This window comes from Homo sapiens, chromosome 2, assembly GCF_000001405.40.
Source record: "Homo sapiens chromosome 2, GRCh38.p14 Primary Assembly".
NCBI lineage: Eukaryota > Metazoa > Chordata > Mammalia > Primates > Hominidae > Homo > Homo sapiens.
In genome coordinates this window covers 210,577,538-210,601,834 of record NC_000002.12, presented here as the reverse complement: position 1 = coordinate 210,601,834, position 24,297 = coordinate 210,577,538, and the positions used below count along the sequence as shown (strand labels likewise).

The 24,297-nt window shown below is 35.3% G+C and overlaps 1 protein-coding gene across 6 annotated transcripts in view; it reads right to left on the bottom strand.

Moving 5' to 3' along the window:
- The window catches only part of CPS1 (carbamoyl-phosphate synthase 1), a 201,423-nt gene that overhangs the window by 77,273 nt on the left and 99,853 nt on the right, over positions 1–24,297 (bottom strand). For 4 of the 6 annotated variants that reach the window (NM_001369257.1, NM_001122633.3, NM_001369256.1 and 1 more), the window contains 11 exons: positions 22,065–22,121; positions 19,126–19,218; positions 13,688–13,777; positions 11,601–11,729; positions 10,929–11,035; positions 9,866–10,004; positions 8,879–8,956; positions 7,229–7,327; positions 6,253–6,348; positions 2,274–2,463; positions 1,123–1,280 (listed from right to left, as the gene is read on the bottom strand). In NM_001369257.1, coding sequence (NP_001356186.1) covers positions 1,123–1,280; positions 2,274–2,463; positions 6,253–6,348; positions 7,229–7,327; positions 8,879–8,956; positions 9,866–10,004; positions 10,929–11,035; positions 11,601–11,729; positions 13,688–13,777; positions 19,126–19,218; positions 22,065–22,121 — 1,236 coding nt within the window. Of the gene's footprint in view, positions 1–1,122; positions 1,281–2,273; positions 2,464–6,252; positions 6,349–7,228; positions 7,328–8,160; positions 8,481–8,878; positions 8,957–9,865; positions 10,005–10,928; positions 11,036–11,600; positions 11,730–13,687; positions 13,778–19,125; positions 19,219–22,064; positions 22,122–24,297 lie in introns of those variants that run through there. The other 2 variants (NR_161225.1, NR_163592.1) reach the window with 2 other exon arrangements.

Sequence of the window (24,297 nt, the reverse complement as noted above, 5' to 3'; positions counted from 1 at the left end):
TTAATGAAACCAGGTTCTCTGCTGCTGAAGCTAGCTTGATGTTACCACAATAAGCCATTAGGAACACTGTATATAAATGGATTTTTCATTTTCAAGTTCAGTCTGAGCATAGTCCCAGAAGCTTGGAATTCTTTTTTTTAACTTACAGAATACAACATATGGTGGCTATATTTTTCTGTCATGGAATATTATTACACTACCAATGGGAATGTAATTACACCTTTCCCATATGCCTGTTTCTTTTCCTGAGGAAGCAAGGACATAATTAAATCTGGCAATGAAAGAACAAATGTATGGCAAGAGCTTCCCAAATTGTGCAGCAGAGTTATCCTGGGATTATTTGATTGACAAGTTTGTAACACAAAAGATACTTGGTAGCATTGTCTTCTGAAACATACATAACCCATTTTTAGTTGTCCCAGCAGTACCTGCTTTATTCCTAAGGGTGTGCCTGTTTCTACCATGGAGAAGTTGGATTTAACACTGCCCCTAGCACCTCCACTTCACCAGCTATGAGCCTGAAGTCAAAAATAAAGTCAGGGGCAAAAACAGATATAAAGTGAGTTGATTCTTTTTCCTGGTAACTGTTAATAGCTTATTGATAGGCATAAGGGGCAATGGAAATAAATAACAGAAAAGCAAATCTTCCTTAAATATCTAAACTACAGGTTTTCCAGTCATTTTAATGACTGGATCCATTTTATTCTAAAATGTTTATTTTATTTAAAAAAAATTTAAAGCAAATTTCTCATTTGCAGGGAATTCACACATGCAAAATATGTGATTGATCCCAGAAACAAGGTAAAAATTGCTTTGTTATTGCAAGTTGGTATGGTTCTTAGTTTCAGTTCAGGAGATCTGAGATTCATTGGCACTTCAAGCCTTGATAAACCACTTCATCTCTGGACTTCTGTTTCTCTTTGCATAAAGTAAAATGTTAATACCTATAATTTCAGCATTGAGTGCTGTAATACACAATATTTCTAAACTATTAACACAATTCTAGAAGAAAATGCATGCAAGTATAATAATCTTAACTATTATTATTAGGCATGAAAAATCATTCTCCCTACAACACAAGACAAATAATGCCCTTGTTTTTCCAAAGCAAAGAATCCTTACCGATTCCACTGCAAAACTTGGAGCAATCTTTTCATTGATCTCATTTAGTTTATCTGAAAACAGCTGCCTGTCTTCCGTAGCCATAATGGACTCAACTGAAGTTCCCAGGACTTTCACACCATATTCCTTGAGCACACCTCTCTTGAATAGTTCCACTCCTAAAGAAGAACCAAATAGGATTAGTTTTTAAAATCTTGAATTTTGTGCCTTTTTTAATAGACAACTGAATACAACTACTTTTTTAATCTTAAAATCCGAGAAGTTACCACTGTCTACAATAGAATTGCACTTAGGGAAAAAAATTGAAATAAAAATTCTGAAGACGGTCTGACAAAATATGTTACTGATGCTACTTTTACTTATATTACCATCTTCTGAAAATCATTTTTATCCTTATTAATAAAAGTCATAGTATTATACTGAGCCTTAAGATTTCAATATATTCCCTTTCCTCCTAAAGTCCATTTCTATAATGAGATTCTATAATTTAAAAAATCCCAAATATATGAGTACCTACCTGGGCTAAAAAATTATCCTCAAAATGGTTTGTGTTTCCACTACCTAGCCACCTAATTTTGCCTTAGTCCTTTTTTTTTTTTTGACATACAAGTTATATCACCAATTGCTTACCCAAACTAGCTAAAGAGACTCTTATTCATGATCCAGTTCCAAAGATTTGAAGAATTTTAAAGAGAACAAAGCAGTAGACTCAGCAGAAGTATGAAGTAATAGTAGAAAGACTGATCTATGCTATCATGAAAATGTGTTTGAGAGGAAATTGCTGCAGGGCTGATACCTAAGAGCACTTAACCAATGTTAATTCTCATTTTTCATTCATAATAGTTCTCAAGACCTCAATAGCAACAGAGAAAAGCAATATCCTGCGATAGAGTAGAGAAATGCAAGAAACCTACTGGCCACTCTGGAGCATTAAAGTGAAAGGTTTCTTTGTCTATCAGCTATTTTGTGAAATTAACTAGTAGTATTCATCATATGACTATATTAAGTGGCTGTTTGCTAACTGCTTTCTCACACAGTAGAGGAAAGGTTTTATGAACACACAAAGCACAATTGTTAGATGAGCTCAAATAAAATACATTACACAGCAGTGCATATGTCAAAACTCTGCAATTAAGCTTATAAGAACTCACCACAGTTCAGAGCTGTCTGGCCACCCATGCCCAGAATTAACCCATCTGGCTGTTCTGCCTTGATGACCTCTGTGACAAACTGAGGGGTGATGGGAAGAAAGTAGACAGTATCCGCTTGCTTTAAGCCCACCTCATTGGTCTGGACTGATGCAATGTTTGGGTTCATCAGAACAGTTTTGACATTTTCTTCCTGAAAGAAACAAAAGAATCCAGTACATGAATATATGGTCTAAAGAAGAGAATGACCACACTTAAATAAAAAGACATGGGGTAACTAAGCTTTTAGGTTATCTGTGGGCCGTAGAGATCCGTAACAGGACTAGTGAATGGAAGTTAAAGGAAGACAAGCATTTGGTCAAAGAAATGAAGAAATTCTTGAAAATGAAACTATCCAAAAGAATTGGCTGTCTCATGAAGATCGCCATGAGGTGATCTTTGCCACTGTTGGCAAAGCTGGAGACCATTTCTATATAATTGGTCTAGAGAGCCACAAATATTACTGAACCCTGTAGTTCAATCAACCTTAAAAGAATAACATATTCCAAAAATTTTAAATTAGTAAATATAAAATGGAACTAGAGGCAATACGAAAGCTGCTTATAATTATGTGGTCAATTTTAGAGTATGTGTCATGTGGCAATGAGAAAAATGTATATTCTGTTGTTTTGGGGTGGAGAGTTCTTACAAAGGTCTATCAGATCCATTTGGTCCAATGTCAAGTTTAGGTCCTGAATATCTTTGTTAAATTTCTGCCTCAATGATTTGTTTAATACTATCAGTGGAGTGTTGATACCTCCCACTATTATTGTGTGGGAGTCTAAGTCTCTTTGCAGGTCTCTAAGAACTTGCTTTATGAAACTGGGTGCTCCTGTGTTGGGTGCATATATATTTAGGATAGTTAGATCTTCTTCTTGAATTGAACCCATTACTATTACATAATGCCCTTCTTTGTCTGTTTTTAAATCCTCGTTCATTTGAAATCTGTTTTTTCTGAAATTAGGATTGTATCCCCTTTTTTTTTCTGTTTTCCATTTGCTTGGTAGATTTTCCTCTATCCCTTTATTTTGAGCGCATGGGTGTCACTACATGTGAGATGGGTATCTTGAAGACAGCATACCATTGGGTTTTGCTTTTTTATCCAGCTTGCCACTCCATTCCTTTTAAGTGGGACATTTAGCCTGTTTATATTCAAGGTTAGTATTGATATGTGGATTTGATCCTGCCATTGTGCTATTAGCTGGTTATTATGTTGGTTTGTTTGTGTAGTTACTTTACAGTGACACTGGTCTGTGTGTCTACGTGCATTTTTGTATTAGCTGGTAGTGGTCTTTCTATACTTAGTGTTCCTTTCAAGATATTTTGTAAGGCTAGTCTGGTGGTAATGAATTCCCTCAATATTTGCTTATTCAAAAAGGATCTTATTTATCCTTCACATGTTAACCCCCAGACCTAAAATAAAAGTTAAAAAAAAAAGCTGCTCCCCCTTGTATTTATTTGTCTAAGAAGAACATTGAATGTACATTTAAAATGCAGAATAATGTGCTCCCTTCTTGCTGGAAGCACTGAGAGCCTTCTGCTGGTTTCTATTTATTTTCTAGATTCATGCTTGCTATAGTGCTTTAACAAAAAGCATTATACAACTGTTTGTACATATTTAAAAAACCATATGGTAAAAGAAATAAAACTATGTGTATGCATGCATGTGTGTGTGTATGTTTGTGTGTGTGTGTATATATATGAAGGTATTCATAGCTCTATCTCATTCCTTACATCGGGAGAGACCTTCAAAATAATTCTTTATGTAGGCTACTAAGGATAATTGTTTTATAAACCAAGATGAGGGTGACACTTAGCAAAATAATTATTATAACATACAGCCAGATGGTTCTAATTATTTCATACATTAGCATGTCAATTTTAAATTCTCCTAAAAAGTCAACAAAATATTCAGATAAAAGTATAGAAATTATTATTGAAAACCCCACATATCTTTGGGGAGGATCTGAATAAAACATTAAATATATTTTATGCTGCTTTAAATTCAAATAGTGACTTAATGCTTGTAATGTACTTTTTAGTAATGTATTTGATTTTTATACCAAGACTATGAAAGAGATTTCAACCTTTTGGATGAAGAAATTGAGATTCAGTAAGGTTAAATGGTTTGCTAAAGGTCACATAGCTAATAAGTGGCAATATTAGGGCTCTAATTCAAATGTTATGATTCAAATCCTATGCTCTTTCCTCAATACGAGTCATCTCTCAAGATTTTAAGAGTAATATTATTAACAAAATGTCAGGAAGATACAAACAGGTAAGCAAATGCTTTTATAATATGTGATGAATTTTAATAATTGAGTCCCAACTGAGAACATACCAGCAACAGAAGTTATAGAAAGCCTCACAACTAAAGAAAAGTACCAACAAACTTTAGTATATTTAAGTATTTTTCTGAATGTTCTATACAATGAATATGGCGATTTTTTATAAGTCAAATTATACAGGAAAAGATCCTATACATACACATGATGAGTGTTCATTTATTTTAAACCTTATTGCAATCTTAATTTTAAATCATTCTGATTTTTCTAATTCTTGTTGCAATATATGCACCAATTATTTTTTTAGTTTAAAAATCCACCTCTAGTTATTAACCTTCTAAGTGATCACAATCTAATCTAATAATTCCTGTTCTTTAGTTAAAACTATATAACTTTACCCAATTGATGTAAAACACATTAAAATACAAAACTATAGAAATTCTAATTATTTGCAAAACTCCCAAATAGAATAAAAACTGTATACAGTTAAATGTATTCTAAACTCTGAACACACTTAGATTGTGTACTAACTAATCTAAACCACTGGACAGTCTCCAATTATCTAATGAGAAATTAAAGCATAATACAAAGAAGTAAAACATCGTTTTGAAAATTTATTCCAAAAAATATGTGAGTATGCATGCACATGAATGGAGGAGAGTATTAAAAAATAAAAACAAATGGGAAAAAGAGTAAAGTCATTGAGACTGTGTTCTACCTCTTCAACAGACGCCCATCAGGTGAAAATCTTTGACTATAGAATACTAACAAAAAGAAAAATAAGAAAACCTTTGGCCAACTATTTTTCCCAGGTTTGCTGTCCTAGTCTTCTGTTGCCATTCTATGCTGACTCTACTAGCCTGGTCTCTGGTGAATGGCATTACACTGCAAAGCCTGAGGCAATGTCACCAAGAGCTCACATTGCCTCCGAATGGCCTGATTAGCACAACGAGGGGTACCAACTGAACTCCTCAAGAGAAATACATTAAATATACAACGGAATTTTTCTAAAGTTTTATTTTACTACAGTAAGTGTTGGGAGATCTCCAGAGAGTTTAAAGAAACAGGAAGGATGTCCTTCCACACCTGTGTATCAAATCTTTTTTTCTACTTGAAAATGTTGCCATATCATCCCGTTTCCCAGGCACTGATGGGAGAACTGTGTCCCCCAGTGACAGATAATAATTTATAACACCTGAACAAAATGTACTGTTGCCCTTGCTTCTCCAACTGGAGTTTCCCATTTCAACCACAGAGATGCCCGAAGCATCCTGTAGAGCACTTGAAATACTTTAAAGCACCAAAGATGCCCAAAATTTCTCTTTCACATAAAAGATAAGTATATTTGAAAAACTCACTGCCTCAAAAGAAATAAACAGCATAAATAAATGTGGCTTTATATGTTTTCACTATAAGGAGGCAATAACCTAAATAATTTTGGAGATTAACCTCCTCAATTTACAGATGTGCACATTACAGAAAGTTGAAATTCTTGCTCGTGATCAAGCTTCTTTAATACAAGATTTATAAAGGCACAGTTAAGGAAAATAATTATAGCAACTTTGAAAAGAGGTAGTGTCATAAATCTAAATTATAAAATACTAATTAGACTCATTAAAGGAAGCATATTAATTCTAGTAAGGATCATATTCTCTCACCTTCATGGCTTTTACAGCTTGAGATCCTGAGTAATCAAATTCTCCAGCCTGACCAATGGACAGACCTCCTGATCCTAGAATAAGGACTTTGGAAACCTATAAGCAATAAGAAAAAGACACTGTTATTACTGCTAAAATGGGGGAAATAAGGCATTTTCAAGATTGGAGAAGACAAACCACATTGTCTGAGTTTATGTGGTCATCTAAGGTCTAATGTAATGAAAAATATGTAATATATAGGGAAAAAGACTAATAACTTAAAACATCTCTGATTTCAATGTGACTTCCAAAGTTTATTAAGGTTTTTCTCTTAAGTAAAAAATTTTTGGCAGAGGTTTACATTTTATTTAAACATATATAAATATCCAAAAATATATACATATATGTAAATATATCTATGTGTGGTATTTTTTCAAATACACATATATCCTTCTAAATTTTAAATAATGATATGAATGTGTAGTTTATGAAGGAAATGGGTAAAAACTTTATCACACTAACATACATATTCAAATTAAGGATTTAAGTGTTATATTCTTGTCCATTTGCTTTTTAGAGGTAAAATAATACTCAGTACATGATGTTGAATAACAGTTATTCTAGTTGAAACAAAAAGAATTCTATCATCTATAATGATTCTGTAGTCTGAAATGTATCTCATGTTTACATAGAGCTATGGCTTTTTGGATAATGGGAAATAAATTCTAAACTAAACACTATTCTTTGTTATGTTATTACAAATACTCTGGAAGAAGTAAACTTTAAAAGACATTATTTTAAATCAAAACATGAGAAGTTCCACTAGACATCATCAAGAAGGAACCAAATAATTAGTTACAAAATGACAGTCTATTACAATATTACCAGTCATCTTTTATTAAACACTAGTATGCCTTACATCACTTAGTTTTTAAAAATCTTCATGTGATAGGGACAATCCAAAATTCATAAACCAAAAATAAGCCCACATACTGACCTCAACCCGAGATGCAACTAGTGCTGGCTTCGGTAAGACTGATGTAATGGTGGTAGCTTTTCCTTTCTTTATCAGTGAGAAAAAGGAATCAAACAGGTACTAGAAAAAAATACAACCAACTAGTTAGAAGCTTCAAAATTCCTAAGTTCACCAGATAAAACACAATATACCCAGTTAAATTTGAACTTCAGATAAGCAACAAATAATTTTTATTATAGCATTTCAGCTTTTTTTGCTTTTTTGTCAATAACTAAATATCTGTTAGTGTGAGAATTTAATCAAATAAACACTTCTGTTCACTTCAAGTCTTATAAAAAAGAAGTTTCCAACAAGCAGTAAACATATCAGATACCTTCTGAGAATGCCAAGTTTTTAGTAAATTGTATATCATTTGTTTCTTCTAAATCAAATTCTAGGTGGATATAACAATTGAAGCTATATCACTTATGATATAGAAAATTAGAAATACTAATTTAAATTTAAATTTCTATCGGCTCTAAAAAACAGTTTCTGAAGATTATTCTTAATCTTTGCCAAAGGATTTACTTCTGTTGTTTCACTAGATATGACAAATTACAACAAAGAATATTCATTTTGCAATTATTGGAAAGACAAAAAAGGAGAATTATGTGACAGTGGATATTATTACATCTTAATTGCAATGTTCCTAATCCGAAGTACTAATATATGCTAATTTAAATTTTAAATTAAAAAACTACTTAGCATGTGTTAGATGATACACATAACTAAATTTGATTTATGAGTTTCATCATGGGTTGGTAATATAATACTGATTTTGGCTATTAAGAACCAATATTTCCTAATAATATTAAAACAAGAACAAAATATAAATATCTAAAACGGCAATTCAGACATGAGAGAGTAGAGCAGAGCTTGCAGAAAGAAAGCTCTTATTCTCTTCCCCATTTTACCTCGAAGTCTTTTCTGAGAGTTCTGACAATGAAGATTTGCTACTGGAGGCCCCTGGGTGTGGGGAAGTCACAATAGACTTCAGATTTTTCTGGATATCACCAGAAGAATTTATTTGGAAAGATGGGTTTGAACAATGAACTAAGAGCTCACACACAAAAAAGTAAAAATATTTAGATTAAATACAAAACTCCTCTAAGCATTCCTTGTGGTTCTTTTCTGAAGCCGTCTGAATCATCTATGTATGTGCATGCATGCCCTCTCTCCCCTCCAACACCCTTCCCCTCCTTCTCCTGCTGCTGTTTATTCTCCCTTAGTGGCTACACAACCAGTTGCCATAGGGATTTTTGTGAAGTCACAGATGGGGGATTAAAATTTCATTTCAGTCATGAGAACGAGAGAGAGCAAAAGGGAATTCATTTGCATAGTACAACAATTGTAAATTTCAGAACTAAATATATTAGAATGATAATGGGTTTAAATAAAAATACCATCGCTTCGGGTTTCTTAAGGGCTTTCCCACTTTAAATTTTAAAAAAGATAAAAATTTCCTCTGTGACATTCATGGGGAGATTTTAATACAAAATGTGTGTTACCAAAGCACTCTTCTTGAGAATGTTCTGCTCAAGATCATCTGGGGTGATTATTTTGGTTTCTCGAATTTCCACACAAATACATTTTTTTTTTGCATACATAATAGGCCTCATCTTTTTGACGTACCTCAGTGTCTATTGGCCCCGGGGTGACCTCTGGGTGGAACTGCACAGCGAAGAAGGGTTTGCTCTCATGCATAATCCCCTAAAGGAATAAGAAACAGGAAGAAATTCCTTCTGTAACAATGAATGTCAAGTGTGGCTATGTATTATTCAGGGAACAATAAAGCTCAAATTTAAAAACTGAGTTAGATGCTTAACAAAATTTTTGTAACTAACAGTACTATTAAGTAACATGGTCCGATATCTTAAGGACTTACATATCTGACCTTTTTGATTAAGTATGGAAAATGGGTCAATGAAGACTCAACTGAATGTGTTTTCCTTTAAAATAAATAAATAAATAAAAAATTTGGTCTATAGTCTTTGGGACCCCTCTGGGTTCTGTTCAGAGTAAACTCAAGTCCTCATCTTATCCCCAAGTCCGAAATTACTTTTCCAAGGGTCTTCTCAAACACTACACCAGTGCCAAGTAAGTCCCAGAGACCCACCCAGATGGGGCTCAAACAGATTTGGACCAACAGCCCACTAACATTGAATATATGAGATAGTTGTTGATTAATAACTCAAATAGTGAATCTTAACAAGTCAACTGATGAGAGAATAAGAGAGAGAAATGACGTTTTAAAACACAGAGGGCTATGGGAGAAAACCTATAGCTGTTTTTCAACACTCAACCCCAAAAAAATCACAAACAAACAGGAGAAAGGTATTTGCATCATAGTGTATTTAAAAACTCTGGGTGAATATTCTGAGTGAATAATTTATTGCATATTTCAAAACAGCTAGAAGAGAAGATTTGAAATGTTCTCAATACAAAGAAATAAAAAATGAGGTGATGGTTATCCTAGTGTGATTTGATCATTACATATGATATGCATGTATCAAAATATCACATGTATCTCATAAATATATACAATGCTTATGTATCAATTATTTTTAAAAGCCCTGCGTTTCTCATCACCAACTGAACAGGTTTATTGACATCATTTACCTCATTTGTTTGATCGTTGACATTCACAAAAAGTGGTTTCCAGCCAGCAGGGAGGGTGTTGTCCAAGGCATAGCCATGATTCTGAGCAGTAATGAAAGCCTGTTTGTTTGTGATATTCAAAACAGGCTGATTCTGCCCTCTGGAGAGAAAAGGAGAAAAAGAATAGGGAAAAGGAAAAGTGAAGAGAATAATATAAATGTATTCCTTATAAAGTAGTGAACAAGTAAAGCCTATTAAAATTCAAAATTTCAATTGCTTAGTGAAAATCACTCTGTGAGAAAAGTCACAGATTGTTAATCCCAGTAATTTTCCCAACAAAAATCAATTCAGGAAGCTTTGTTGTGTGTTAAATACGCAGGTCTATTAAATTCTATAATCGGTTTTAGAAAGGGGGGCATTGCACTCATAACAAAAAGGGTTGCTCACCGGCTTAACAGAAACTAAGAAATATAAGTGACTTACTTTAAGAGAACTACAATAATTTTAAAGCCCGAGAGTTATAGGGAGATAACAAAGAGATGACTGCTCAGACCTGAATTATAATTTATGTAGAGGGTGGGCCATGGGAAAAAGCCTGATGTTTAATAAATTAATATTGTTTGAGGCAAAAAAGAGAAACCAAGAGGATCTAAAGGTTCCTCGGCTCTTAAGTCACACTTACCTTCTTAAAATGTTACAATGTTCTGAAATCAAGCTTAAAATCAGAACAATTTCCCTTGGAATATCATTTGATTGAGTATTATAACCTCAATTTATGCCAAGGGAAGGAAAATAACTTTAAATTATAGCAAGGTTATCATTAGAGAAGGCTGCTTTCCAAAAATGCAACAAAAGTGGTATCAGGTAGTCAAACAACTGTCAACCACGTAAGGTATGGTTATTTATTTTATTTTTTATTTTATTTATTTATTTATTTATTTATTTATTTTTATTATACTTTAAGTTTTAGGGTACATGTGCATTTATTTACTCTAAAGAAATGGCAGGTAAGTGCTCTGAGTTCTTTGTATTTAGTTAGTATGTCAGAGCTGGTTTACTGTAAGCAAAAGTGAAAATACCTCACCTGTTGGCCATGGACATCTTGTAGGTTTTGGCACCAGCAGCCAATCCTGTTATTAAGTTTCCTGTACTGATTCCAAACAATGGCTCCTTGCGATCACTCTCCAAAATCTAAATCAGGGAGAATTTTTATTAACCAATTAGTACAGTTCCAAAAAATGTTGCTTCTGAATGAACAAAAATGAGGTATCCTTTTTTCTTAAGAAGGTAAAGAGAATAGTAACTGAATTAAAGAAGAATATAAAAAAGGACATAATTGACAAATTTGTAGCATTATAATTCATTAAGATGTACTTTACATTCAAACTAAACTAAATCTAATTTAATATTTCTTTAGAGACCTGCAGGTCTTATGGGTCCCAAGGTCATGATAAGGAACCATGAGTTGTCGGTTTAAAACTGTAAAGCAAAATACATTTGGCCATTGGACTCCAGTTCTTTTAACTCAAGGACATGATCCCCAAGTTACTTTGCCTGAAGAAAAACCCTATTTTCTCTGATATTCTCTCCTCATTGGTTCCCCTACAGAATATCTCTACTGACACTGCCTCAGAAGTCACAAATACCAGCATTGAAAAATGCCTGAATAAATAAAATGTATCACAGCCCTTTGAGGGTATAGAGCGGAAGCCCCCACCTCCCACACAGATACACATGAATTCAAGGTTCATTGCACCTTTCTGACATTCTGAATTAGTGGTTCTGCAAGAGCTGGGTTCCCCGGTCCTCCCGCGATCAAAATCCCATCATACTCCATCTTGGTGAAATCATGGTTCCAGGGAACTAAGTGCACTTCAGCTCCTCGCTGGAAAAGAGACACAAGAATGATGAATTTAATAACATGTTTCTTTGCCAAAGTATAATTTTGCTAGACTTTCTCTTGACTAACCATTCCTTAAAGGGAAGGAAAAATTTGTAAACATTTAAAATAAATAATGCTGAGCAAAAATTTCTTTGGGGCCGGGCTTGGTGGCTCATGCCGGTGATCCTAGCACATAGGGAAGCTCAAGATAGGGGGGAATTGCTTGAGCCCAGGAAGTCAAGACTAGCCTGGGAAACAGGGCAAAACCCTATCTCTACCAAAAAAGATAAAACAAAAATTAGCCAGGTATGGTCCCAGCTACCCAGAAAACTGAGGTGGGAGGATCACCCGAGTCCAGGAGTCACAGGTTCCAGCGAGCCAAGATCACACCATTGCACTCTAGGCTGGACAACAAAGTAAGACCCTGTCTCAAAATAAAAATAAAAATAAAAATAAACACCATTAAAAGTTTTGATCCTGAAAAAATGGATAATGCACTCTCCTGCACTCAAGAGAAGTTTCAGTGCCTACAAATGCCATGACTGGACTGACAGGAGAGTAGGTTACCTTCACACGACCAGTTGCAAAAAGATATAAATCCATTTTCTGAAAATGTTAAGTTGGCCCACGTCAGACCTTTTTCAGTCTTGCCTTTTAGTCTTATCAAATTTTAATCAGCCTTCTTTCCTAGGGTTTTCTCATTTTCTGTAAGATTTATATTCGAATGGAAAACTTAGAAATTTCTTTTAATATAAAAGCACATAGGAAGGTGTCTTTGAGGGTTTCCCATGAAGCATTTCCTGAAACAAGGATTTAAGAGAACAAAAGCTTATTTGGAAGGTACTTCCATACTAAACAGAGAGGAAGTGACATCATGAAACACCCCAATAAATTATGCATTAGCAAGTAGTTACCACTAGGGATAAGTGAAGTTTAAGCCCAGTAGGGAACTCTGAGAGCCCGTGTGGAATAGTTACCTTAGAGACTGCCTATCCATGGGACAAAGGAGCCAGGGTGGTTAAACACTGGCTTTTTCTGTGCTTTGGTTGGGGGCTACTCCAGAGATCATTAATTCTATGCCATTTACTGCCTGCCAGTAGGCTCCAGCCATCAGGCAAAGAGATATAGATATTTGCAATTGGAAGATGGGCAACATGAATTAAAATGGTAACTTGAGATTGAGATATACACAGGCCATCCACAGCATCTGCTACCATGCATGCTATCCATGCAAATGTTTGTTAATAAAATTGACAAGAATTTGAAATCATGATTTGAATATTGCTGGTATTCTCTAATAAGGAGGTACGATGAAGAGTCTCCCAATACGCATGCTAATTTGGTGTTATGCAAATATGTGTGTATGTGTGTGTATGTGTATGGAGGGGAGATGTGTAGACAGAGACAGACTGAGAGAGGAGTGAGGAGAAGGAAAAATCCTAACAAAACTTTATTTAAGAAACATTATTATGATGGTTAAGTTCTCCTTGAGAATTTTTAAGGTTTAATTTTAACTGGTTGTCTAAGAGTTGATATAAAAACAATGTGAAAGTTCGTACTCTGTCAGGGCATGATTCCTACAAACGTGTGGTACAAAATAAATGTAAGCCCAAAGGAGATGCTATCAGACAGACTCTAGCTTTTTGGTCATCTCTATACCACAAAGAAAGTGAACATGATGCATCTCAGACTGTCAGTCAATTAATGACAAGAACAGTCATCATTTTCTTCCATGTTTTAGTGGCCCTTGAGGTTTTTTTTTTAAAGAAAAAACATAGCAGTCTATATTTTTAATTTGAACAGGGATAAATGTGTTATTTTGTAAATCAAAAGCAACAAGAAGAATGTAGACCCCTGACATTCTGAAAGAATGCATAAGTTTCTCTGTGACAGAGGAAATTAGCTGAACACTAATGGTCAATATGACAAACCCTCACCTTTGAAATGAACAAATTACTTACCTTTACTAGCAGGCGGATTACATTGTTTTTAATCCCACAGTCTACAGCTACCACTTTTGTGGGGTTTCCTTTGCCGTACACTTTGACATCCTGCCATTTTAAAAACCAGAGAATGAGAGGGAAGTCCCAGCTATGGGCAACAGACCAAAATCATAAACACATCTGACAATGTTTTGAACTTAGATTGGTAACAGATTGATTGTTAACTACTAGGGAGTGACTGGCAGTTAACAAACAGTTTGTAAGAAAGGCACAACAAGTGCCACAGACTGTATCTTTTTTATGAGAAAAAAAGACTTTGCTGTTTTATATAAACGGTTGATTATAGTAATAACAATGATCTCTAAGAAACTGGTTGCATGCATAGTTAACCATCTTTCTCATGTTTTGCCTCATTAACAACTGGTAGCAATGAAATGTTTAAGCATTATTGCCTGATTCAGCACTAGACAGATGTGGCAATAGATACATCATGCTTTAAATACCACTTGATCCTCAACTTGCAGTAAAGATCAAATGGGGTAAAGCTGAATTACTGTACATAAGGCTTCTGCAGTTGGGCCTAATGGATAAAATCAGTATAAGAGTCACAGGAATTGCTAAGCAGGTATAGACCACCAGTCCCTTTAGGTTGCCGTGCAATTGTTTGCATTTAAATGGTAGATTTCATAAAAAGATCCCAGAGCATATCATAATCATTATCTATGTCTGAAGCACGGCTGGGAGGCAGATCTATTTTCACAGGCATTAACCCAAGAAGCAGCTCCCCAAAGTCATAAAAGGAGAAATAATAGAGAGAAAGCCTAGAAGGGTGGGCACACACACCGGTTCCTGCTTTGAGAGTTAGCTAGCACGCTATGAATTTAGGATGATTTCATCGTTTGTGAAAATTTTCAGATGAAAAGTACAAACTGAGTATTTGAAAGAACAGTTTATTTTGACTGAAATATCTACCTCTCCACTAAGTCTGTATAGAATGTGAAATTATAATCCTTAGACTGTAGTTGAGGAAAAAATATATAAACTATATCTGGGGTTTTTTTTCTCCCACTGACTATTCTGAAGGAAAAAAAAATACCCTAATCCTTTCAAGATCTGGGGGGAGTTATTGCTGAATTGAATGTCACAGGTAATCTTTCTCATCAAATAATTTGAAAAAGTATAGATCTTTTCTTAACCTTAGGCTTCTGATGTAAAATAAAGCAATATTACCATCTAGTTGTAGCTACAGAAAATTGTAATTACAAGATAATGAATGAAGTTATCAACATTTCCAAGGCATGTAGTCAAACAAAACTCACAAAATATATGTAATCTCCTGATACAAATACGCATTTTATCATAGCTATAGTAATATTATTTAATTGCACTGACATTAAGAAACAAAGGAGCCAGCTTTCACCACTGCAGCATCTCCCTTGATTGGACACAGATAAAAACACAGATATGCTCATTTTTGCTGGTCTCTACACAAACACATTAAATACTGTCCATAAGAATAACAGAAGTTACACAAGACCTCATGGATACTTGCATATATGGATTTGTGCTTGGACTTAACAGAGAGGAATATCTTATGCAGCATTTTGCAACCTTGCTTGACCACAGAATTTTTTAAGATGAATTGCTCCACACCACTGTTTTCCAGTTTAGGAAATGCTAGACTAAACCACCAAGGCAGTTCTCAATTCTAACATTCTATCATCTATCATCACCCTCTATCATGCTGTGTTTCAAACTAAATCATTTCACAGGGAAATATGTAAAACAAGGGGAAGTCATATGAATGGGACCAATTTTAAAATTAAAAATCAGAAGTGAGTATTGCAAACACCATGATCAAATTCCATACATATAAGTAATTACATATCTAATTTAAAATTGATTTTCTTTAACAACACATACTTCTTAGGCTTCAGCATGTTTTGAATGCACATCCCTGCCCGACATGAACATCACGACTCAGTACTAATTTCTAGGAACCCAAAATCCTTGTCTCTCATTTTCACGTGACAGGAGCCGGAATACCAGATAATATCAATGTGTGTTTTCTCTGAGTCTTACATGTTACTGATCAGACTGTTTTACTCTTTTAATAACTTTTTTTAAAGCCTTTAAAAACTCTCACGCTGGAACTCTTCCTTATGAAATGTCCTCTATACGCCTTCTGATTGGTGCTGTATCACAACATGAATCATTTCCCAGATGAACAGGTGTCAGGAAGGGCATGGGAACATCCTTTCTAAAGACTCTCAATGACAAGGTTTTGTCACAGGAGCGGGTAGGATACCCATACAAGCAGAGTCAGTTTCCAGTCTATTCACATATTCACATATTTTACCATTTCTGATTTAAAATTCTTGAATCCTTACTCTGCATATGTAAAAGGTATAAGGAGTGAAACAATGTAAACTTATTTGAATATTATCACATGGTAGTATAAGGATGGTTACTAATAGTATAACTGTTAGTTGCATAACTATTATTTCTACTATGTTGAAAGGCAGTATGGGATGATGTTTTCTGAGAGACAGACACTAGACCAAGCCTTCCTATGTATAATCCTATGGCCATTCACACTGAAGAAGGTATTTAATCTCTCTACACCCTAGTTTCTTCATCAGTAAATGAGTTCCTAATAATACCCATCTCATATAATTACACTGAAGATGGAATAAATTAATCAGTGTAAAGCATTGAGAAGAAACCTAGCAGATAATAAGTACTCAATAGATCGTGCCTATTTTTTATTAATAAGACTTACAGTTATTAGTAATAATGATAATTTTATTATATTAATAATGGAGGTCATAGAACCATAAGAAACACTGATTAAAGGATTTGAAGGGAAAATAAGAATGTGCAATTTCTTTACCACCAACTGTAACTACCATTTACTGGCTTTGTATATTCCTTTATTTATTCATTATTTGTTGACCATGTACTATGTGAAAGGTACTATAGGCAGTGCTGGGGATTCAAATAAGTAAACCATGGCCTCTCCCCTCAAAGAGCCAACCAAGACAAGTGAAAGAGACAATCCTTTCAAAGAGTTAAATGCAATTTGATCCTTGTTATACTGAAGCTATTTATTAAATGACATGGGATCCAAAGGTGAGATGAGTCATGGAAGCTTCACAAAGGAACAATGAGCTGACTCTTGAAACTGACTTCTTCAGGCGAGAAGGGGAAGGAGAAAGCATGGGAAAAGATTTCTACGTAGAGAAGCAAACAAACATATTCAGGCCTTGTAAGAAGCAGGCCAAATAGAAAATTGGTTCACAGGGAGTCTTGAAGAGGTTTCTTGAATTCATGGAACATAAATCTAGAAATTGAGCTTTTTAAAGCTTTTCCGTCAAACTCCCATCAAAATGGAAAGAAAAATAGCATGAGGTTAGCCACAGAGACTCTGGAGTCACTTGAATTCAAATTGACACTAAACTTGGGCAAGTTACATTTGATTTTAAATAGACTTACTTGCTAAGCCTCAGTTTCTTCATCTATGACATGGAGTTTTTATGAAAATTAACTGAGTGTTCAAAAAAGCTTGGTTGTTATTATTTTCCTTGAAGACCAGAGCTGCCACATTGAATGGACCACGATAATTATGAAATATCATGGGCAAAAAAGTGTATGTTATATCTAGAAATAAAATGTTGTGGTGAATACATCTATTTAAAATCAAATTTTGCGTCCACATGTACATTTTCTACTCCTTCCTTTCTAAGAATTTCAATCGCCTTTGTCAAAATAACACTCACTTTCTACTTGGATAAAGTAGAGTTTCTCTGAGAAATTCCATTGCCACACTGGTGATGGAAGAGAAGTTTGTAGCCATCTCTGCTATAGTATAAATAAACCCCAAGGTAGAACCAGCCAATAGCTGTGATGCCACATAGGCTTCCACAGGGCTAAATTCTCCACATGTAAAGCCCCATGGTAACCAAATACATAGTCCTAGGAAAGAGAAGCTCTATTTTTAACTCCCATTGTATGTAGTAAAAACAGAAGGTAGCAATTCTTCCTTTAAGTTTCAAAGCGGATCAAAAACTTTTCTTTAAAAAAATTTCATAGCAGTATCCCATAAACATCTCAGATATCAAATGACATAATCACTATGCTCAACCTAACTAGTTGAAATCCTTAGCTGAGAAAGTAAGGTGATCTTTTACCTGACCTCATTCAGCCCCTCTTCCTCCCATTTGTATAAGCGGCCTAGGTTGCCGTATCTGTTCTTGCTACTACTGCTCAGTTCAGGCTCTCGTGAGTTTTGTTCTGATAAGTTACAATAACCTTCTAGTTGCTTGCTCTTTTATTCAGCTTTACTTTGCTCCAAAATGACACCAAATGAGTTGACAATAGTTTCTGGAAGTGCTGATTAGCCAATGATATGAAACCTTCTAGACCTAGCTTCAGTCAGTCCATCTCCACTTATCCTTGCCCAAGTGTGTAAACCAATAGGTGTGAACCCCTTGGTTCAGCCATCCCAAACTGTGCGTAACTCTTCAAATATACTATGTTGTTCTGTACCTCTATGCCTCTTGGCAAGCCATTCCTTCTGCCTGAAACAAAGTTCTCCTGGTTCTTCATCTACCTTACTGTTACTACCCGCTCTTTGTGTCTCAAAACAGGACTCACATTTCTACAGGGCCTTCTCTGATCCACCTATCCCATTTCAATGCTGCCCCATGCATGCCCTTGCAGCATGCTATGAACACTCCAAGGACAGCATTTATCACAGGATTCTGCACATGGTGATTTACTTGCTTGTTTGTTCCACCAGGCTCTATGCTCCCCAAGGACAGAGACTGTAGCTCAAGAAACTCACTCACACCTACATTAGTAGATATTCAATCAAAACCAATGGACTTCTTTCTAAAATGTATTCTTTACCTTTTTATAAATGTATACTAAAGATATTTCACTTTAGGGTGACTCAGTCATCGTTACGAACATTAATTTTGAAACAAAGCTATAACACAATAAATCTTTAGTGTATGAATAAATATTTTTCCTGCACAAAATGCCCCCAGATTCTGATTACTGTGCCTGATTTCTGTAAAATTCTCTTGGCTCTCTGGCAGGTTACTAGCTCTGACTCCTCATCATCACTGGACCTATCTTTGGCAATTCAGTGCTTCCTTTATTTTACATTGTTAAAATCCTAAGCTGAAGAATCAGAAAAGGTGGAAGGAACACTAAATTTAGTAAAAATCCTCTAAATTGGGGCATGAAGTTTCCCATGTAAGCCTGTAAGTAAAACCAGCTTTAAATGCACTGATTTTGTAAGGTGTATTTTAGCTGCTATGAGATCCCTTTCTACCCCTGAACACTGGTGCTTCTGGAAGATAAACTCTGCCTAAATAAAGATTTTGATATTTCAAGAAGGTCTAAATGGGATCAAATAAAACTACAAAATATAAAGGAAAACCCCTCACCTTGGTTGAAACCTCAGCAATCAAATTCTGTTTATTTGGATCCACAAAATCCACAGGCTGACCTTCAAATTCAATCTTCCCAAGCATGGTACCCTATCAAATTAAAAAAATTAGACAGTTAAAAGGAAGCAACGATAAAGGTGTTGACAAGATAAACTCACAGGGACTTTAAACAGCTGCTGCAAGACTTAGATGTCTTTATAACTACTCGTAACCATCATGGAAGATCTTCATCTTCTCAAACTGAAAAGATTAAGCAATTTGCACATACATTTTGGGAAATACTCTTGGAAATACAATTAGTTCTTCTAGGGCTGACACCATTGCCTGATGAAGGCAAAGTCAAAAGGCATCAGAATTCAGGTCTCCAGGCTCCAGGCTGATGCAAATCGGGATATTTAGTAAACTTACACTACTCAGCGTATATGACCTAAAGACATTTCATGAGAGAAATGGACAAAAAAAATCTATTGAGACAATAAGGAATCTAAAAATCACAAAAAAAGCGGGAATTCATTCATTATGATAGTAATATTAATTCACAAAGAAGATGAAATGCAACATAAGTCATAAACTTCTAGAATTTGAAATGAAAATATTCACTGTTTAGGCATGTTCATATCCAAGTGTTCCTATGGGCCTGAATTGAAAGAATGTTCAACCCTCTGTAAAGTTTTCACAAACTATCCTTGCTAGCTTGAACACGACAATGTCACCTTTTTTCAGCTGTATCTTGAGATTTACTTATTTGTTAGTAAGTCTGCTTTGAACTACTTAGAAAAATGGCATGCTATATTTAGTAATCAAGATTCTATTGAGGGGTAAAAATTCAAAATAATTCATTGATATGCCCTTCTCTGATGAAATTATTGCATGGAAGGAAATAGAAGGAAGCTTTCATTTCCCTTTTAAATGTATTCCTTGAAGGAGAAGTCACTTGGGGGTAAGTGAGAGTAGAAAGTACCTATGTGTCATGCAAGCATGATGGATGTTTCAGTGCTGTTATTAAATTCAGAGTGCTGCCTCTAAGTCTGGGAACACTACCTAAAAACCACCTTTCACTTCCATAGTAGATTACTACATTTCATGGTGGCCTGTATTTACTTTTATAATCCAAGTCGCATAACCCCTTGTCTATATTTATGGATCCCTAATTTTGAAAATTGGTTTTTAGTTCTCCTTCCCCTTTTCTTAAAACATGCTGAATGAAATACGATCTTACTTTTCAAATTAAGGTTAATAGAAGTGAAAGCCATAATATACATTTTTAATATGAACCACCATCACTGATAAAGAAATATGAGGCAATACTGTTTTGTCTGTGCCAATCTATTCCGCCAATTTTGAAAACCTAACTGCCTATGATAAAAGGAGGGCTCGTTTTAACCTAACATATCACATGAAAGACAAGTGCGGTCTTGTAAAGTTTTCCTGAATCATTAGGCCTGACTATATTTTATTCAACCTGCCAATTCTGCCATCTGAATTGATTTTCCCAACTGTATTCCTTTCCCGCCCTCATAGCCTCGTCATTGCTTACTGCTCACACACATCATTAGGCTGAGAGAACACAAGAATCTCCCTGGGATATATAATTTCACTAACACCTATTCTCAGGAAAATCGTGGTAGAGTGAATAAAATCAGAGGTGGGATAGAATGATGGCATAAACTCTCACTGTCTTCCTTCTGGTCATGGGTATTTGGCCATGTTTTTATTTTCAAAGCTGTTTTTTCCTTCTGTTTACAGAAAGCCTGTGTCAATATATATATGTATATATCCTAACAAGAAATCTACAAAAAAATTTTTTGAAGACTCCTTTTCCCATATGTACTTTTTTTTTTTTTTTTTGAGACAGGGTCCTGTAGTCGCCCAGGTTGGAGTGCAGTGGCATGATCTCAGCTCACTGCAACCTCCGCCTCCCGGGTTCAAGTGATTCTTCTGCCTCAGCCTCCTAAGTAGCTGGGATTACAGGTGTGCACCACTATAACTGGCTAGTTTTTGTATATTTAGTAGAGATGGGTTTCACCATGTTGGCTAGGCTGGTCTCGAACTCCTGACCTCAAGTGATCCGTTTGCCTCAGCCTCCCAAAGTGCTGGGATTACAGGCATGACCCACTGCACCCAGCCCACATGTGTAGTTTCAAATTGTGTCATTTATCTTTTTATTTTTATGTAATTATATTTAGTAAGAAAACTTTAGTTGCATTTGGGGAATTTAGTTAACGTTAGTGACGTAATGTTTCTTTCAGATTTGGAATATGGAAATTTCAAGTAAAATAATAATAAACTCAACAAGCAGATGGTGATGAGATATTCTCAGAGGAGGGGTCAGATGTTGTAGCAATCAGACTTCACTGAAAGCAAAAGATAACCTTCCCTTTTATCACCTTGGTTATTGATATGGTCTCAACAAAGACTATATAATTGAAGTAATGCATGCAAGGCTTATTTGGCACATTCATGAAAGATAATGCATTAATTTTACAAATAACTCTTTCACAAGGACAAAACAAATAACAGTAACAATGCTGTACACTTCCTGGAGTGTATTTTTCAGCATGTAGGTTTTCACTTCAGGCAAAATTGTTATGCAATTTGTTACCTTCTCCACTTGTTTCACTAAAGTTCTATCACATGAGCTGAATTATAAATTCCTTGACTTGTTGGTATAATGAACACATAGTGGGCACTCAATAAGCTGCCAGGTGAATGAATCTCAAGTCCATTCAGTTAAAAACATACCAATCAAGTATTCAATCTTGAAAATTACAGTGAAAATAGTAAAACAAAATAACAGAGACCCAGATAGCAGAAGCTGGCCAGATTCACTCCTTTACATATTAATGGATCCCTTAGGCACTGAGGGAAACACCACACACACACACACACACACACACCCGAAGAAACATAGATTTGGCTAAAGATGATGATTATACCTTATCCCGAATTATTTTAGTCAGCATTCTTGTGTCCACTCCATAAATTGCAGGAACCTATAAGAAAAAAATTGTAGTGACAGTGAAATTGGAGGAGATTAAATCCAGCATATTGTTTTCAAGTTACAAACTTGGCCTCATCTATCTTCTTGAGCAGTAAATAATTTCTCCACTCTTTCTTTTCTCTGACCCAGGGTGACTGTATTGTCAGAACACAGTAAATTGTTGCTACAGTTAGGCATAGGACTCTTAATACCCAGGTTCTTTCTCAGAGTAAAAAAATGAGAAATTCTGAACATCAATCTTCTGCTACACTTCTATTGCTTTTAACCCAGGATGTTAAGTAAGTTAAATCACATTGGTGAACTTCATAAGCAATAATATGCAAATCCATGTTTTGAGCCAAATGTTCCTGGCACAGAGTAGGCACTCAACACATTTTTCTGAAGGGCCATGTTGAGTAGTCATGTTGTACTAAAACATGATCATCCTGTTAGTCCATCAGGCAGGACCACCATTTGTTTTAAGGTTCTTTGACTACGTTGGATAGAGACACATGTGGTATAATGAAAGAGTAATGAGTTAGGAATCAAGAAAACAGGTTCTATCCCACGGGAGGCTTTTTACTAAAATAAGATTTTTTTAAAAAGAGGTTAAAAAATGAAAACATGTTCTAGTTTTTTTTTCTTCCACTAATTATCTGAGAAATGTTTAAGCAATGTATTTGTTCTCACCGGTAAATTGAAGGAGGTGAACTGGTTATTATCTTGGATTCTTTTCTACTCTACATGTCTGTGATCATGGAAGAAGGTTCAAAGCACATTTAAAAAACGAACTTACAAGCCGTTGGTTAGGCTTACACTAAAACTATTAGTTCTGACATAGAAAAGCTATGAGAACAAGTGTCCTAAATAACAAAAAGGAAAAGGAAAGCTTGGGTTGTTGGGGGCTGGGGGGAGAGAAGTGTCTCCCAAATGACGATTACAGAAATTAGCTGCCTGGATAAGGAAGATAAATTCAGATAATAGTTGAGAAGAAAATGGCTATGGCCCAGGATATGATATGGATGCCTTCTTCTCCCTTTTAAAATTTAGAAAGAATGAGATCTAAAGAGCCAGGATCAAGATTTTTTTTATTTTTCAGAAAGCAGCAATGTTTAGCCCCCATAGATAGACACTCATTGGAGAGGCAGCACTTTCGTAGAATAAAATTCTGTCAATTACAGGCCCAGCAGTTGAACAAAAAGCAGCTACAGCAACACTGGAGATGAAGTTAATTGAAGCAGGTCCATTAACTTAAGTACTTCTAACATCCAAACAAGGCAAATGCTCTTTTTTCATTGGAAATTAATATTTATGGCTGGGCGCGGTGGCTCATGTGAGCCTGTAATCCCAGCACTTTGGGAGGCTGAGTCGGGTGGATCACATGAAGTCAGGAGTTTGAGACCAGCCTGGCCAACATGGTGAAACCCCGTCTCTACTAAAAATACAAAAAATTAGCCGGGCATGGTGGCAGGCTCCTGTACTCCCAGCTACTGGGGAGGCTGAAGCAGGTGAATAGCTTGAACCCTGGAGGTGGAGGTTGCAGTGAGCTGAGATTGCCCCATTGCACTCCAGCCTGGGCAACAAGAGTGAAAGTCCATCTCAAAAAAAAGAAAAGAAATTAATATTTAAACTAAAAGTGTAAGATAAAGTTTTATAACCCTTTTCTTACATTATTAATATGTCAAATGAAATTATATATAATTACATGTCATAATGTTGAAGCCCAACGAGACTTGATGGTAATCTGCTTATACTCATAAGAATGAGAGATGATGCAAGTATTGCATAGAATGATTATGTGACCTGCACAAAGTTACACAACCAGTTAACAGTAGAGCTGGTACTAGAACACTAGAACCCATGAAGCAAGTTCCATTACTACATTCTAGATAAAACGGTGAAGGAGAGTAAAAGACTCAATTGCTAAAGAGAAGAGAAAATGCTAAAATTTTATCTTACCCCTCCCTTCCCAAATGTGAAGTGCTACCAAGCATGTATGAGTGCCACCTAGTGGATAAACTGAAAATATGTGCTCATCAGCATTTAAGGAGGAATTCAGACATTTCAGCCTTTATGTAGTAAGAGAAGGAATCCCTCTCTGAAATGCAAAGATCCCAAACTACATGATCTTCCTCTGTCTGCTTGGCACTTCTGAATCTACAGGCACCTTCTCAACCTTCCTTAGGTGA